Consider the following 18,910-nt stretch of genomic DNA (forward strand, 5'->3'; position numbering starts at 1 on the left):
CTCACTTAACTTTTTTGTGGTTATACATTTGAACTTTACTTTCTTAGTTATTTTGAAATATACATTATTACTGACAATAGTCACCTGCTGTGCAATAGATCTCGAAACTTATTTGTCCTGTCTAACTGAAACTGTGTACCTCTGGACCAGTAACTCCCCATTCTCGCACTCCACTCCCCCATCAACCCCACCGCCAGCCCAGGTAACCATCATTCCACGCTCATTCTATGGTTTCTACTTCTAGATTTCACATACAAATAAGATAATCAGCATTCTTAATTTCTATCATAGTGCCTACCCTATGTTACCTTCCATAACACAGCTAGTGGTAAATCATTCTCTGATGGAAGTAAATCAGCAATAATTAGGGAAACCCATCACTCTATCACACTACAGGGTCCAAAGCTTTGCTGCTCCTGAGGGAAACTGTATTTTTCATTTTATAAAAACACATGCACCACATAGCATTTCAGTCAACAATGGACCACATATATGAGAGTGGTCCCACAAAATTACAATGGAGCTGGAAAATTTTTATCGCCTAGCATTTACTATACTATTCTTTTTATCTTTATGACTGTACTCCTTCTACTTATTAAAAACAAAAAAAAAAGAACTGTAAGACAGCCTCGGGCAGGTCCTTCAGGAGGTATCCAGAAGAAGGCACTGTTATCATAGGAAATGACAGCTCTATGCCTGTTACTGTCCCTGAAGACCTTCCAGTGGGACAAAGAGGTAGAGCTGGAAGACAGTGACACTGATGATCCTGGCCCTGTGTAGGCCTAGGCTATGTGTGTGCTTATGTTTTCACTTTTAACAAAAAAAATAGCATAAAAATACAAAAAAGCTTATAGAATAAGGATATAAAGAAAGAAAATATTTTTGTATAGCCATGCAATGTGTTTTAAGCTAATTATTATGACAAAACAGCCAAAAAGTTTTTTAAAAGTACAGGCTCATGCCTGTAATCCCAGCACTTGGGGAGGCCGAGGCAGGTGGATCACTTGAGGTCAGGAGTTTGAGCCAGGCTGGCCAACAAGGTGAAACTCTGTCTCTACTAAAAATACAAAAAAAGTTAGCCAGGTGTGGTGGCGGGAGCCTGTAATCCCAGCTACTCGGGAGGCTGGGGCAGGAGAATAGCTTCAACCTGGGAGGCAGAGGTTGCAGTGAGCTGAGATTGCGCCACTGCACTCCAGCCATGGTGACAGAGACTCAGTCTCAAAAAAAAAAAAAAGAAAGAAAAACATTTATAAAGTAAAAAAGTTACAATAAGCTAAGATTAATTTATTATTGAAGACAAAAATTTTAAATAAATTTTGTGTAGCCTAAGTGTACAGTGTCTATAAAGTCTCCAGTAGTTCACGGTAATGTCATAGGCCTTCACAGTCACTTGCCACTTTCTCATTGACACCCAGAGCAGCCTCCAGACCTGCAAGCTCTATTCGTGGTAAGTGCCCTACAGGTGTACCATTTTTTAAGCCTTTTATACTGTATTTTTACTGTATCTTTTCTATGTTTAGATACACAAATACTTACTGTTGTGTTACAGTTGCCTACAGTATTCAGTACAGCAACATGCTGTGCAGGCTTGTGGCCTAGGAGCAACAGGCTACACCTTCTAGCCTTGCTGTGTAGCAGGCTCTGCCATCTAGGTTTGTGTAAATACACCCTACAGTGTTTGCCCAATGATGAAATTGCCTAACGACACATTTCCCAGAATGTATGCCCAATGTTAAGCGATGCATGACTGTATTGAAATCTGTCTGCAACATCTCACAAGCCAAATAATTCCCTCATGCCCAGCCTACCCCAGTCCCCAGGCCACCTTACCTGGAGGTACTACACTAAGTGTATCATTTGTTCTTACAGAATAAACATTCAAGCTTCCACACCATTGCCTTTGGGGGAAGTGAATCTAAAACACACTTTGGGAAGTAATTATATCCGTGTGGATCTTCCCCTGCATGACAAAATCATGCTCCATGCATTTTCTGTTGGAACAGATTATTGGTGAACAGATAGTGAAAATAATTTAAGGTAGAACAGCAAGATACTATTGCATACATTCTAGTTCATTCTAGACTATAAACAGCTTGAGAAAAAAAGTATATTTTCTATAATCCCACAGAGAGTCCCGTGTCCCAAAGGGCTGCAGAGTAGTTAAGAACACAGGATTTGGGCCGGGCGCAGTGGCTTACGCCTGTAATCCCAGCACTTTGGGAGGCAGAGGCGGGTGGATCACGAGGTCAAGAGATCGAGACCATCCTAGCCAACATGGTGAAACCCTGTCTTTATTAATAATACAAAAATTAGCTGGGCGTGGTAGCGCATGCGGTAGCGCACGCCTGTAGTCCCAGCTACTTGGGAGGCTGAGGCAGGAGAATTGCTTGAACCCGGGATACAGAGGTTGCAGTAAGCCAAGATTGCGTCACTGCACTCCAGCCTGGCAACAGAGCGAGACTCTGTCTCAAAACAGTACCTGGGGTTGTTGCAAGGAATAAATGAAATGTTTGTTAAATGTGGAGAAATAGGAATGCTTTTACATTGTTGATGGGAGTGTAAACTAGTTCAACCATTGTGGAAGACAGTGTGGCGATTCCTCAACGATCTGGAACCAGAAATACCATTTGACCCAGCAATCTCATTACTGGGTATATACCCAAAGGATTATAAATCAGTCTACTATAAAGACACATGCACATGTATGTTTATTGCAGCACTATTTTCAATAGCAAAGACTTGGAACCAACCCAAATGCCCATCAATGATAGACTGGATAAAGAAAATGTGGCAGGCCAGGCACGGTGGCTCACACCTGTAATCCCAAAACTTTGGGAGGCCGAGGCGGGCGGATCACGAGGTTAGGAGATCGAGACCATCCTGGCTAACACAGTGAAACCCCATCTCTACTAAAAATACAAAACAAAAAAATTAGCCGGGTGTGGTGGTGGGAGCCTGTAGTCCCAGCTACTCGTGGAGGCTGAGGCAGGAGAATGGCGTGAACCCGGGAGGCGGAGCTTGCAGTGAGCCAAGATCGCACCACCGCACTCCAGCCTGGGCAACAGGTTCCATCCAAAAAAAAGATAAAAGGAAAGAAAGAAAGAAAATGTGGCATATATACACCACGGAATATTATGCAGCCATAAAAAAGAATGAGTTCATGTCCTTTGCAGGGACATAGTTGAAGCTGGAAGCCATCATTCTCAGCAAACTAACAGAAAACCAAACACCACATGTTCTCATTCATAAGTGGGAGTTGAACAATGAGAACACGTGGACACAGGGAGGGGAACATCGCACACCAGGGCCTGTTGGGGGGTGGGGGGAAAGGGAGGGAGAGCATTAGGACAAATATCTAATGCATGCTGGGCTTAAAACCTAGATGACAGGTTGATAGGCACAGCAAACCACCCTGGCCTATGTATACCTATGTAATAAACCTACATGTTCTGCACATGTATCCCAGAACTTAAAGTGAAATTTAAAAACAAATAAATAAATAAAAAGAAATGTTTGTTAAATACTTAGTACAGTACCTGACATAGATCAGACAAGTGACAATAGCAGTTACTAATCCGTACATCCTCTAGGTTTTAACTGCATTGGACCTATGCTTCTCTCACAGGCCTCAATGGAGATGTCATACTCCTTCTTAGCTATCTAGCAGCTCTATGATCTACTGTTCTAGGACTCTTAGCACTACTCCTTTGACAACTGGGAGGGCCAAGGGGGATGTCAGTGAAAGTTGTCATTTTCAAGATAGAGGCGGAATATAATAAGTCACTCACGGCTTGACAGTTTTGAGTGCATTACATTTATATGTGTCTTTCCTGCATTAGTGTTAACTACTGGGCAATAAGGCTGTGAATGAAGGAAAAAAACATTGGAAGGAAGGAGAAAGCCATTCTGGAGCTGGCAGAAAGTGGGGTGTGGGAGGTAATCTTAGATTCTGTATGGTTTTCTTGAACCAAAATAGTACAGAAGTTAGATATTGGTATTGTTCACTTGGAACATAAAGGGAAAGGAAGGGACCAGTGTAAACACTTATTTAAGAGAATAATATGTATGCACATTTTAATTAAACTCTAATATGAACATTTACTCGGTCTCTTTCAAAAACAGAGCTAGGAATATATGGTTTTTCCCTACGTCAACTCTAAACTGTTATCAGGCAGTGTAACAAACCAGAGCTGCCACCCTGGTGGAATAGAGCTCAGGAATGTTCACAGGAGTCTTTCTAAAACACACGTATACCACCACCCCCATTTAAACAGCAGCAATTATTGAAAGAGGACTCAAGTTGAGTTCCTTTCCCCCTCCTTCATCCCCCATGGGGAAAGCGAGGTCTTGTCGGCATGCACCAATGTCATCCCTTTACTGCACATTCATTAATCTGGATTCCTCAAGATGATCTGAGAAACTGCAGACACACAAGGGTGGCCTGTGATAGTCTTTGTTATCAGGAGCCTGCAAGCTTCCTTTCATCTTATTAAAATTATACCCTTTCTGCTAAGGTTGAAAAAAACTAAGAAATTGTAATTGTATCCCACTCAACCTCGTCTGAAAGAGGGGAAAGTGGCCCATCAGACCATCTCAAGTTACAATACGATTCATGTGGTATTCCTATTTCCCACACCAGCCCAGGGACTCCTAGGGTTTTGCTCAATCCCTGGGTGGTGGGAACCCCCCTGAAGGGTTTATAAACCTAACACAATTAAGCACCATGTGACAGACACTGTGCTAATGGCTTTACATGCATTCTTTTACTTACGTCTCCCAACACCCCCAGCATTATTATTATTTTGGGTTTTTTACATCTCCATTTTGACACTTGGCAAGGCAAAGAAACCTGACAACAGTTAAACAGCTGGCAACTTCCAGAGTGGGAATCTGCCCCCAGGCAGCATGACATCACAGCCCACGTGGTTAACCTCTATTCTAACATGAACTTCAAAACTCCAGCCTGCTGTGCTAGGGACTGAATGTTTGTAAACCTCCAAAATTCATATGTTGAAGCCTTCTCTTCAATATGACGGTATCAGGAGGTGGGCTAAATTGATTAATTAGTGATTTTCTTAGTGGATTTCCTCATAACTCTATTTCATGAGGGTGGTGTCCTCATAAATGGTATCAGCGCCCTTTTAAAAAGAGGAGGAGACACGAGATTCTCTTTCTCTCAGTCATATGAAGACACAGTAAGAAGGCTGTCTCCAAACAAGGGAGCCAGCCCTCACTAATTGCCAGGTCTGTTGGCACCTTGATCTTGGATTTCGCACCCTCCAGAACTGTGAGACAGAACTGTTTGTCACTAAAGCCTCCAGTTTATAGGATTGTTACAATAGCCTGAGCCAAGACATGCTTGGTGAAGATGCCCGCCATGTTGCTAGTAGGCCCATGATATTCCACTCCCCCCGGCTGCTCTGAAAGCAACAGATGTGGCACTCAGCAACCAGCCAGCCAGGTGAGGCTCTAGTTTGGTCCCTAAGGCTATCTCCCTGACCCCTTGGTTGGACTTCAGAGGGAATGGAAATCAACTCGGGCTGTAGCCATATCCTGTTGGCCTTCCCAGGGCATGGACAAGCTGTGATAATCCTGCAAATAAATAGGGTGGGGAAGATCAGTTCAACTATAGGGTTGGCAAACATTCGCAGGCCACTTAGAAGAGCTGCAGCTTTAATCATGCTGTCTTAGAGAGATTTCAACATGGCAGAGTGGGCATTGGTGGTGACATGTTCAGACACTTGGAGAATTTATCTTCCTTCCTGCCCTTTGGAGAATTATCTTCCTTCCTGCCCTTTTTTGCACTGCCCTTCCTCATCCTGTCTACCCAAGCACCATGGGGTTGTGCCTCTCCTTCAGTGATTTTATTAATCAGGATGCTCCAGTGTCCAAGTGGTCCTGGAAATTCCACCCCAAAAAAGGTGTAAAGTCAAGGGGCGGCTGATGCCTCTCCTGATACTGCATTGCTGATGGCTGTCAGTCTCCCCATCCTGTGTGGCAGCCTTGCAAGAACAGGGACCATGCTTATTTTTCTTTAGATTTTTCAATGACTTAGTGCCTGGTACATGGAAGATCAATATATATTGAAATAAATTGATTAATTAGTGATTTTCTTAGTGGATTTCCTCATAACTCTATTTCATTTATTGACTTAATATGGTCTCCATACCAGAAATGAAGTCTTAAAGAAAGTCAGTGCTGTGCATTTACATTAGTTCACAACATTTATGCCATCCCATCACACAGGTATCCATGCTCACTTATCCACACTATCCTGTAAAATCCCTGAAGGCGAGGACCATGTCTTACCCACACTTGAATGTCCACTGCAGTTGCCTTCACATGGTAGGCTCAATGGTTTTTCAGCTGATTTGAATAATCTCTCTGCAAGGAAAAACTGTATGCTGAAACAGAAATCTTCACCCAAGCCCATCTACAACTTCTGCTAAGGAATTCAGGAGTGGATTTCTCTCTAATCTTGCCAAATTATAAGAAATATTTCTTGAGCTACTGAGACTTTCACAGGAATTCACAGGTTCACAATACAGTGTAACAAGGCTGTCTACTCCCTTTTGCTCTCCTGCTTAGGGGCTCTCCATAAGGCAGAGGCTTGCCAAATCTCGCCACTGTGTGTTGAGCTTTCATCTCAGTATATGACTAGGACTCTCTGCCTTCAGTCCCATTCTGTCTATGTAAGCAATACCAGAGAGCCTCCATACTCCAGCAGCTGGCAAATTTCTCTCTAAGATCAATTTCCATCTATGTTGAAGTTATGATTAACTCTACTCTTTCCTAAAGCTGTGGGGTTGAGATGGATGGATCTTCTCTGATCTAGCCACTCCTAGGCAGCAGCACAAGCATTTCACCAGTCCCAAGCATCTTAGGCCCTATGCCAACTATCAGACCTGTGTCATGTTGGGGTTCGAGCACCTGCGCCTCAGGATATAGAAACCCTCCTTCTCTTTCTTCCAGTCCTTTTCAGATCAGAGTCCTTCAACACTAAACATCTTATTCCTCTCCTCCTCCTCCGTAGAACCTGAGGGCGCATCGGTTACAGTTTGGCAGTAGAAGAGTCCCAAGGCATAAAAAGGTCTATTTAGCTTCCATAAGGTTGAGGACAACCCTGCCATAGAAACAGAAAAGGCTTCCACCTTTTTCTGGGAAGTTGATGCCTTTCCTCCTCCCCACTACTGCCCAGCCCTCCAGCCCCACTGCAGCCCAGGAGAGGGTCCTCCTGCTACCACAGCAGAAGGCAGGGCACAAGTAAAGGCCTCAGCAGCTCACTCCTCCAGTTTCTGAGGAGATAGCCTTCCACAAGTCCTATCGTTCTTTTTCCCCTTTTGTACCAAGCTTCAGAATTTTTTGCCTATTTGTTGGAATGGTAAGAGTGAAGTCAAGAAAAAAAAATAAAAATAAACTAACAGAGAAGAAAGGAAGTCAGTCCTAAACAAAACACCAAGAGAACTCAAGATTGTAGATGTGAACATATTTAATACCACTGAATTGTACACTTAAAAATGGTTAGAATGGTAATTTTGGGGTTTTTGTTTTTTGAGACATGGTCTCATTCTGTTGCCCAGGCTAAAGTACAGTGGCACATAGCTCACTGCAAACTCAAACTCCTGAACTGAAGAGATCCTCCTGCCTCAGCCTTCTGAGTAGCTGGGATACAGGCATGCAACACCACACCTGGCTAACTTTTTTTATTTTTTGAAGAGATAGGGTCTTGCTATGTTGCCCAGGCTGTTCTCAAACTCCTGACCTCAAGCAATCCTCCTGCCTCAGCCTCCCAAAGTGCTGGGATTACAGTTGTGAACCAAAGTGCCTGTCAATTTATCGTTTTGTGTATTTTATCACAATTTAGAAAAAAAAGATTGCAGAAGCACAACCTGTAGTTGGAAGGAGAGGGGATAGTTGTCAGAAATTGTTTCAAGTATATATGCCAGATCTTCTAAAGTGTAAATCAATTTGTGAATATATTTAACCTGCTAAATACTTTTTTTTTTTTTGAGACGGAGTTTCACTCTTGTTGCCCAGGCTGGAGTGCAATGGCGTGATCTTGGCTAACCGCAACCTCTGCTTCCCAGGTTCAGGCAATTCTCCTGCTTCAGCCTCCCTAGTAGCTAGGATTAGAGGCACGTGCCAACACACCTGGCTTATTTTGTATTTTTAGTAGAGACGGGGTTTCTCCATGTTGGTCAGGCTGGTCTCAAACTCCTGACCTTGGCCTCCCAAAGTGTAGGGATTACAGGCATGAGCCATGGTGCCCAGCCTAAAATACCTTTATATTAAATGAAATTGGCTTGTTATGAGCCAAAGGCATCTTTTCTTCCAACATTTTTGTTGTCACCAAAACAACACTCTATAAGCCTAGACTCCAAGTCTGTCAGCTACCACAAAAATTATAAGTTCTAGGATAAGGTCCCTGATAGTATTATTTCACCAGGCCCAGTTTTTAGAAGATAGGTTTTTGGTCTCTTTGTGCATACATTACCTCAGATTATACTTAGGCTTGTAGAGTTGTAGGAAAATTACACACTGATGTCTCTTTAGTTTCAGGTAAAAACATGGCACAAGCAAAGCACTCTCAATAATCAAAAAGCATTCCTCTCTTTATACATCTATTTTGTGTAGATATCAACTTGTATTCCAAGAACTATAAATTGTGCCTGTAACTGTGAACACATACATTTTCTCTGTTTAGCTTAATATTCTCGTGGGATCAACAGGTACTGATGGCAATTTCTATACTTCTTTAAACATAAACATCAATCAGGGTACAGACTGTAAGCATTTTGAAAATGCCATACATTAAGAGACAAGAACTGCTTGAGGAATCACAAATATTTATTCTAAAGCAGGTCTTAAATTCAGCTTTCTTCTGACTTGGACTGTCTGCTGAAGTCTGCCCTGCACTCAACATTCTAAGCCCATTCAATTAGAAGCCAGCTCTTCATAATTCCAGGTAGCAGTCCCCCTCATTTTCAAATGCAGAAAAATTCAGACAGAAAAACCAGAGGAATATTAAGCACTTGAAATTCTATGGCTGATTATAAGAGTCTATGATGGACCTAATGGAGGTTTGGAAAGTGTTCCTGATGGCAGCGTGCTGTAGAGAGCCGCCACCTAGAAACCATGTGACACCAAGGGAGCCTCTGGACTTAGGAACACACTTTTGTCTTTATTCACAAAATCACTCATATGTTTTGGGTTTTGTTAAATAAAAACAGCATATTCTTTATTTTGCATACTTTAGATTCAGAACAAAATGATCAAACAATAAAACCACAATACATAACATCCAATCCTGCTGTCAGAGAAGGGAGGGAATGGGGCTTGAGGCCCTTGTTTCCTGCCTGAGACACAAGGACAGGAGAGGAAAAAACACTAGACATTAGCAGAGGGAGCCACGTAGGACAAGGCACACAAGGCTGCGGTGAGAACCGTGGGGACATTATATGAAGACCCAAGGTATAAACTCCTGATCTTCTATGCAAGATGCATCTTCATTGCCCTCAAAGCTAGAGAATCTCATCAGGAACTGCAGCACTGGGTTCCTCTGCTTCCACTTCATCCTCAACAGGCCTAGCTTGATCCTGCAGTCAATCTAGTTGGAGTGAGTTTGGGGATCCTCAAGGAAGAAGCCAGAAGAGAGCAGCACGGTTTCAAACAGCAGCACCATCAGGTCCCTGACTGCCTTGCTGTTCCTATCAGCCTCAGCCTTCTGCTGCAGCATCTCCACAATGGGGTGGTTGGGGTTGATCTCCAGGTGCTTTTTGGCCATCATGTAGCCCATGGTAGAGTTGTCCCGAAGTGCCTGGGCTTTCATGATCTGCTCCATATTGGCTGTCCAGCCATAGGTGCTGGTCACAATGCAACAGGGTGAAGACACAAGCCTATTGAAGATTGTCATCTTCTCAAACTTTTTATCTAAGATTTTTTTTCATGAGCTTGCAGAGGTTCTCAAACTTTGCCTTGCTCTCTTCCATTTTCTTCTCCTCATTCTCAGGTAGCTCCAGACTCTCCTTGGTAACTGAGACCAGGCTTTTCCCATCAAATTCCTTGAGCTGCTGCACACATTGGACTCATCAATGGACTCAGTCATAGAGACTACCTTGAAGCCCCGCTTCCACACTCGGTCCACAAAAGCAGAATTGGCCACCTGCTCTTTGCTCTCACCAGAAAATTACTCATGTTACATCCACGTGTAACTTCACTGTCCAAGGCTGAAATGAAATCATGTGATTTGAATGTTTCCCCTTCAAAATTCACGTGCTGCCAATGGGAGAGTATTAAGAGGTGGAGCCTTGGCTGGGCGCGGTGGCTCACGCCTGTAATCCCAGCACTTTGGGAGGCCGAGGTGGGTGGATCATGAGGTCAGGAGATAGAGACCATCCTGGCTAACACGGTGAAACCCCGTCTCTACTAAAAATACAAAAAATTAGCCGGGCATGGTGGTGGGCGCCTGTAGTCCCAGCTACTCGGGAGGCTGAGGCGGGAGAATGGCGTGAACCCGGGAGGCGGAGCTTGCGGTGAGCTGAGATGGCGCCACTGCACTCCAGCCTGGGCCACAGAGGAGACTCCGTCTCAAAAAAAAAAAAAAAAAAAAAAAAAAGAGGTGGAGCCTTTAAGAGGTGATGAGGCCATGGGGCTCCTCCCTTGTGAGTGAGATTAGGTGCCCTTATAAAAGAGATTTACAGAGGGAGTTCGTACCTTTTACCCTTCCACCTTCAGCCATGTGGGGAAACAGCACTCTTTCCATCTGGAGGAAACAAAAATGAGGCACCATCTTGGAAGCAAAGACCAGGCCGTCACCAGACACTGAAACTGTCAGCACCCTGATCTTGAACTTCTCAGCCTCCAGAACTGTATGAAATAAATTCCTGTTTTTTATGAATTAGCCAGTCTCAGGTATTTTGATGTAGTAGCATAAAACAGACTAAGACCATGATGGAAAACCTTTATTAAACCATAAATAATTGTACAGATGCCAGTAATCACTAATATTTTAAACCATAACTTAGGGTTCTACAATATTTTAACCTATTTTTTGAGATATGGAAGCTAGACTTTTCCTCCTCTAAAATTTGAGGCCCTCAATGAGGTGAGGAAAAGGAATTAGTGACAATCAATTTTGTATCCACAGCACTAATTTAATGCCCAACACAAATAGCCCATTAATTATAGGCAAACCTCAGAGATATTGCAGGGTCAGTTCCAGAACACCATGACAAAGTGAGTCACACAATTTTTTTTGGGTCCCCAGTCATATAAAAGTTATGTTTACACTATACTGTGGTCTATTAAGTGTGCAATAGCATAATGTCTTTAAAAGTGAACATACCTGTGATATTATTTGATATGGTTTGGCTCTGTGTGCCCACCCAAATCTCATGTTGAATTGTAATTCCCAATGTTGGGGGAGGGACTTGGTGGGAGGTGATTGGATCATGGGGGCGGGTTTCCCCCATGCTGTTCTTGTGATAGTGAATGAGTTCTCATGACAGCTGATGGTTTAAAAGTGTGTGGCACTTTCCCCCTTGTTCTCTCTCTCTCCTGCCGCCATGTGAAGAGGTGCTTGTTTCCTCTTCACCTTCCACCATGATTGTAAGTTTCTGACACTATCTTGAGGTAGATAGTGTCAGAATTAAATTAGAGGATACTCAGTTCGTATCTGCAGCAGAACTGCAGATTGCTTATTTTTTGGTGGGGAGTAATCCCCCACATTTGGTCACAGAACTTTTTTGTGTTGATTGTTGTTGTGTTTTGAATGAGAAAAGAGGAAAAACATGGTTTGAATTTTTCCCTACCTTAATTTAAAAATATTTTATTGCTAAAAAATGATAATAATCATCTGAGCCTTCAGTGTGTCATCATCTTTTTGCTGGTGGAAGGTCTTGTCTTGATTCTGATAGCTACTGACTGATCAGGGTGGTGTAAAAGGTGAGAGTGATTATGGCAATTTCTTAAAATAAAACCACAATAAAGTTTTCGCATTGATTGACTATTCCTTGATTGAGTTCTCTGTAGCATGAGAATGCTATTTCATAGTATTTTCCCACAGGAGAACTTTTTTCTTTTTTAAAAAACATTGCTTTAGTTTTTTTATGTTCCAGGGTACATGTGCAGAATGCAGGTTTGTTACACAGTAAACACCTATGTAACACAGCTTTGCTGCACCTATCAACCCATCACCTAGGTATTAAGCCCAACATGCATTAGCTCTTTTCCCTAATGCTCTCCCCTTCCCCCACCCTCCCCCAATAGGCTCCAGTGTGTGTTGTTCCCCTCCCGGTGTCCACGTGTTCTCATTGTTCAGTTCCCACTCATAAGTGAGAACATGCGGTGTTTGGTTTTCCATTTCTGCATTAGTTTGCTGAGGATAATGGCTTCCAGCTTCATCCATGTCCCTGCAAACGACATGATCTCATTCCTTTTTATGGCTGCATAGTATTCCATAGTTTATCATTGATGGGCATTTGGGTTGATTCCATGTCTTTACTATTGTGAATAGTGCTACAATGAACATATGCATGCATGTATCTTTACAATAGAATGATTTATATTCCTTTGGATATATACCCAGTAATGGGATTGCTGGGTCAAATGGGATTGCTGGGTCAAATGGTATTTCCGGTTCTAGATCTTTGAGGAATCACCACACTGTCTTCCACAATGGTTGAACTAATTTGCATTCCCACTAACAGTGTAAAAGTGTTCCTGTTTCTCCACAACCTCACCAGCATCTGTTGTTTCTTGACTTTTTAGTAATCACCATTCTAATATGAGATGGTATCTCATTGTGGTTTTGATTTGCATTTCTCTAATGATCAGTTATGTTGACCTTTTATTCACATGTTTGTTGGCCGCATATGTGTCTTTTTTTAAGGTGTGTCTGTTCATATCCTTTGCCCACTTTTTAATGGGGTTGTTTGTTTTTTCTTATAAATTTGTTTAAGTTCCTTGTAGATTCTGGATATTCGACCTTTGTCAGATGGATAGACTGCAAAAATTTTCTTCTATTCTGTAGGTTGTCTGTTTACTCTGATGACAGTTTCTTTTGCTGTGTAGAAGCTCTTTAGTTTAATTGGATTCCATTTGTCAATTTTTGCTTTTGTTGCAATTGCCTTTGGCAATTTCATCATAAAATATTTGACCATGTCTATGTCCTGAATGGTATTGCCTAGATTTTCTACTAGGGTTTTTAAGGTTTTGTGTTTTACATTTAAGTGTTTAATCCAACTTGAGTTAATTCTTGTATAAGGTATAAGGAAGGGACCCAGTTTCAATTTTCTGCTGGATCTGGCTAGCCAGTTCTCCCAGCACCATTTATTGAATAGGGAATTCATTCCCCATTGCTTGTTTTTGTCAAGTTCATCAAAGATCAGATAATTGTAGGTGTGTAGCCTTATTTCTGGGTTCTCTATTTTTTCCATTGGTGTATGTGTCTGTGTTTGTACCAGTACCATGTTGTTTTGGTTACTGTAGCCTTGTAGTATAGTTTGAATGTAGTATAGCATGATGCCTCCAGCTTTGTTCTTTTTGCTTAGGATTGTCCTGGCTATACGAGCTCTTTTTTGGTTCCATGTGAATTTTTAAATAGCTTTTTCTAATTCTGTGAAGAATGTCAATGGTAGTTTAATGGGAATAGCAGCATTGAATCTATAAATTGCTTTGAGCAGTATGGCCATTTTCACGATATTGATTCTTTCTATCCATAAGCATGGAATGTTTGTCCATCTGCTTGTGTCCTCTCTGATTTTATTGAGTAGTGGCTTGTAGTTCTCCTTGAAGAGGTCCTTAACTTCCCTTGTTAGCTGTATTTCTAGGTATTTTATTCTCTTTGTGGGAATTGTGAATGGGAGTTCATTCATGATTTGGCTCTCTGCTTGTCTGTTGTTGGTGCATTTCTGCACATTGTGATTGTGATTTCTGCACATTGATTTTGTATCCTGAGACTTTGCTGAAGTTGCTTATCAGCTTAAGAAGCTTTTGGGCTGAGTCGATGGGGTTTTCTAGATATAGGATCATGTCCTTTGCAAACAAAGACAATTTGACTTCCTCTCTTCCTATTTGAATACCCTTTATTTTTTTCCCTTGCCTGATTGCCCTGGCCAGAACTTCCAATACTATGTTGAGTAAGAGTGGTGAGAGAGGGCATCCTTGTCTTGTGCCAGTTTTCAAAGGGAATGCTTCCAGCTTTTGCCCATTCAGTCTGACATCGGCAGAAGGTTTCTCATAAATGGCTCTTAATATTTTGAGGCATGTTCCTTCAATACCTAGTTTATTGAGAGTTTTTAACTTAATGTTGAATTTTATAAAAGGCCTTTTCTGCATCTACTGAGATAATCATGTGGTTTTTGTCTTTAGATCTGTTTATGTGATGAATTATGTTTATTGATTTGGGTGTATTGAACCAGGCTTGCATCCCGGGGATGAAGCCAACTTGATCATAGTGGATAAGCTTTTTGATGTGCTACTGGATTCAGTCTGCCAGTATTTTATTGAGGATTTTTGCATCTATGTTCATCAGGGATATTGGCCTGTTTTCTTTTTTTGTTGTATCTCTGCCAGGTTTTGGTATCAGGATGATGCTAGCCTCATAAAATGAGTTAGGGAGGAGTCCATCCTTTTCAATTGTTTGGAATAGTTTCAGGAGAAATGGTACCAGCTCCTCTTTGTACCTCTGGTAAAATTCAGCTATAAATCCATCTGGACCTGGGCTAAGCTATTGGTTGGTAGGCTATTTATTACTGTCTCAATTTCAGAACTTGTTATTGTTATTAGTCCCATCAGGGATTCAACTTCTTCCTGGTTCAGTCTTAGGAGGGTGTAGGTGTCCAGGAATTTATCCATTTCTTCTATATTTTCCAGTTTATTTGCATAGAGGTGTTTATAGTATTTTTTGATGGTTGTTCGTATTTCTGTGGGGTCAGTGGTGGTATCCCTCTTATCATTTCTGATTGTAAGTATTTGAATCTTCTCTCTTTTCTTCTTTATTAGTCTCATTAGCAGTCTATCTATTTTATTGTGTGTTTCAGAAAACCAGCTCCTGGATTCGCTGATTTTTTTGAAGGATTTTTCATTTCTCTATGTCCTTCAGTTTCACTCTGAGCTTTCTTATTTCTTGTCTTTGGTTAGCTCTGGGGTTCGTTTGCTCTTGGTTCTCTAGTTCTTTTATTTGTGATGTTAGGGTGTCGATTTGAGATCTTTTTAGCTTTTTGATGTGGGCATTTAGTGCTACAAATTTCCCTCTTAGCACTGCTTTAGCTATGTCCCAGAGATTTTGGTATGTTGTCTCTTCGTTAGGAGAACTTTTTTCAAAATTTCAGTCAATTTTCTCAAATCTTGCTGCTGCTTTATCAACTAAGTTTATACTACATTCTAAATGTTTAATTGTCATTTCAACAATGTTCACAGCATTTTTGACAGGCGTAGATTCCATCTCAAGAAATCACTTTCTATGGTTATCTATAAAAAGCAACTCCTCATCCATTCAAGTTTTGTCATGAGATTGCTGCAATCCCCTGACAAGTACCACATCTGCAGTTACTTCCTCCACTGAAGTCTTGAACCCCTCCAGGTTACACTTGAGGGTGCAAATCAACTTCTTCCAAACTCCTGTTAATGATGATAGTATGACCTCCTCTTGTGAATCATGAATGTTCTTAACAGTATGTAGAATGATGACTTTCTAGGAGTTTTCCACTGTACTCTGCCCAGATCCAAGAAAGGAATCCAATCTATGGCAAGCAAAGCCTTACTAAATATATTTTTTAAATAATAAGACTTACAACTCAAAATTACTCCTTAATCCATAGGCTGCAGAATGGATGTTGTGTTAGCAGGCATGAAAACAATGCTTATTTCCCGGTACATCTCCATCAGAACTCTTGGGTAACTAGGTGCATGGTCAATAAGCAGTAATATTTTGAAAGAAATCTCTATTTTTTTCCTGTGGAGTAGGTCTCAATAGTGAACTTAAAATATTCACCAAACCATGCAGTAAACACGCGCTGTCATCCAGACTTTGTTGTTCCATTTCTAGAGCAGAGGCAGAGCAGATTTAGTATAATTCTTAAGGACCGTAGGATTTTCAGAATGGGAAATGAACAATGGCTTCAAGTTAAAGTCACCATTATATCAGTGCCTAACAAGAGAATCAATCTATGTGTTGAAGCTTTAAAGCCAGGCATATTAGGCTGGTCTTATGTTGCTATAAAAAAATACCTGAGGTGGCTGGGCACGGTGGCTCATGCCTGTAATCCCAGCACTTTGGGAGGCCAAGGCAGGCAGATCACTTGAGGTCAGGAGTTTGAGACAAGCCTGGCCAACATGGCAAAACCCCATCTCTACTAAAAATACAAAAATTAGCTGGGCGTGGTGGTGCACATCTGTAATTCCAGCTACTTGGGAGGCTGAGGCAGGAGAATCGCTTGAATCTGGGCGGTGGAGGCTGCAGTGAGCTGAGATTGCACCACTGCACTCCAGCCTGTGTGACAGAGCGAGACTCCGTCTCAAAAAAAAAAAAAAACTGAGGCTGGGTAATTTATAAAGAAAGGAGGCCTAATTGGCTCACGGTTCTGCAGGCTTTATAGGAAGCATGGTGCTGGCATCTGCTTGCCTTCTGGGGAGGCCTCAGGAAACTTACAATCATGGCAAAAGGCAAAGCAGGAGAAAGAGAAGGCAGGGGAGGTGCCACACAATTCTAAACAACCAGATCTCGTGAGAAATCCCTCACTATTACAGCAACAGTACCAAGGGTATGGCACTAAGCCATTCATGAGAAATACACCCCTATGATCCAGTCACTTTCCACCAGGCCCCACCTCCAACATTGGGGATTACATTTCAACATGAGATTTGGGTGGGGGCAAATATCTAAACTATTTCACCAGACATCACCTTCTCATTTGTAGCTATGAAAGTCCTAGATGGCATCTTCTCACAACATATGGTTGTTTCATCTACACTGAAAATTTGTTGTTTAGTGTAGCCACCTTCATCAATGATCTTAGCTAGATCTTCTGGATAACCTGCTGCCACTTCTCCATCATCACTTGCTGCTTCACCTTGCACTTTTATGCTATGGAGATGGTTTCTTTCCTTAAATTTCATGAACAAACAACCTCTGCTAGCTTCACACTTTTCTTCTGCAGTTTCCTCACCTCTCTCAGCCCTCATGGAATTGAAGAGAGTTGGGCCTTGCTCTGGGTTAGGCTTTGGCTTAAGAGAATGTTGCAGCTGGTTTGATCTTCTATCCAGACTGCTAAAACTTTCTCTATATTAGCAATAAGACTGTTTCACTTTCTTACTTTTTGTGTGTTCACTGGACTAGCACTTTTAATTTCCTTCAAGAAATTTTCCTTTGCATTCACAGCAGGGCTAACTGGTGCAAGACACCTAGCTTTCTACTTATCTTGAGTTCCGACATGCCTTCCTCACTAAGCTTAATAATTTCTAGGTTTTGACGTAAAGTGATAGACATGTGATGCTTCTTTTCAGTTGAACACTTAGAAGCTATTGTAGGGTTATTAATTGGCCTAATTTCAATATTGCTGTGTCTCAGGGAATAGGGAGTTTGAGGAGAGGGAGAGAGATGAGAAATGACTGGTCAATGGAGCAGTCGGAACCCACACAACTATCAATTAAGTTCACCCTCTTATGTGGGTGCAGTTTGTGATGTCCCAAAACAATTACAATAGTAACATCAAAGATCACTGATCACAGATCACTGTAACAGAAATAATAATAAAGACAAACTTTGAAATATTGCAAGAGTCACCAAAATGTGACACATAGACATGAAGTGAGCACATCCTATTGGAAAAATGACGCCGATAGACTTGCCCAATGTAGGGTTGCCACAAACCTTCAGTTTGTAAAAAGTGCAGTATCTGTGAGATGCAATAAAGCAAAGTGCCATAAAATGAGGTGTGCCTGTAAATGTTGCTGAGTGAATGAGTATGACTGGGGCAAGCAGAGACGTGCCCATGAGTCAGGACTGCAGAAGAGCACTTTTTGCATGGAAAGGATATCAAAAATGAAGTACTCAAAGAGAACTGCATCATGAAGGAGAAACTTGGATTTGTGATTCAGGCAAGTCCAGGTTCAAATCCTGGCTCTGCAATTTACCAGCTGCAGAAACTTGGGTAAGTTACTAACTTGCAATTTATTTGCCTATAAAATGGGGGAAAAAATTCCTTCATCTTACCAGTCACCATGAGGATTAGAAATAATGCATGTAAACATTAGTTTTAGATTCCTAGAGCCACCAAAACCAATAAACACAAACTGGGTGGCTTAAAACAACAGGAATTTATTCTCTTAAAGTTCCAGAGGCTCGAAGTGTGAGAACAAGGGGACATGCTCCCTCTGAAGGCCATAGGAGAGAATCACTCCCCTCTTCCAGCTTCTGGTGGTTCAGGAGATCCCTGGCTGGCAGTTGCATCACTTCAGTCTCTTCTCCTGTCTCCACATGGTCTTCTCCTCTTCTCCTGGATCCCTTTATCTGTCTCTTATAAGGACTCTACACTTGTCTTTGGATTTAGGGTCCACTCAGATAATCCAGGATGATCTCATTTTGAGATCCTTAACTTAATAACATTTGCAAAGGCCCTTTTTCCAAATAAGTTCACATTCATGGGTTCCAGCCGTTAGGATATAAACATATCTTTTGGGAGGGCCGCCATTCAAGCCAAAATAGTACAGGTTGAGTATCCCTCATATTCAACTTGTGGAAGTGAGTTGGAACCAGAAGTGTCTTGGATTTTGAATTTTTTCAGATTTTGGAATATCTGCATTACCCTATGGATATCATGCAGCCTTTTTTTTGACATTTTCAACAATATCTTTATACCACAGAGCACACGCCAAAAAACAGTGAGCAATGCACGTAAGCCTTAGCCCC

At 41.7% G+C, this 18,910-nt stretch overlaps 1 long non-coding RNA gene and 1 pseudogene across 1 annotated transcript in view; one reads left to right on the forward strand and one right to left on the reverse strand.

Moving 5' to 3' along the window:
• Positions 1-9,284: 9,284 nt before the first annotated feature.
• LOC646197 (heat shock protein 90 alpha family class B member 1 pseudogene) lies at positions 9,285-10,182 on the reverse strand (annotated as a pseudogene).
• Positions 17,967-18,910, forward strand: part of LOC105375901 (uncharacterized) — a 37,845-nt gene continuing 36,901 nt past the window's right edge. Inside the window, exon 1 of the long non-coding RNA XR_929046.3 lies at positions 17,967-18,152. This is a non-coding gene — a long non-coding RNA (uncharacterized LOC105375901). The remainder of the gene's footprint in view (positions 18,153-18,910) is intronic.

The sequence above is a fragment of the Homo sapiens genome, chromosome 8 (assembly GCF_000001405.40).
Source record: "Homo sapiens chromosome 8, GRCh38.p14 Primary Assembly".
NCBI classification, from domain to species: Eukaryota; Metazoa; Chordata; class Mammalia; order Primates; family Hominidae; genus Homo; species Homo sapiens.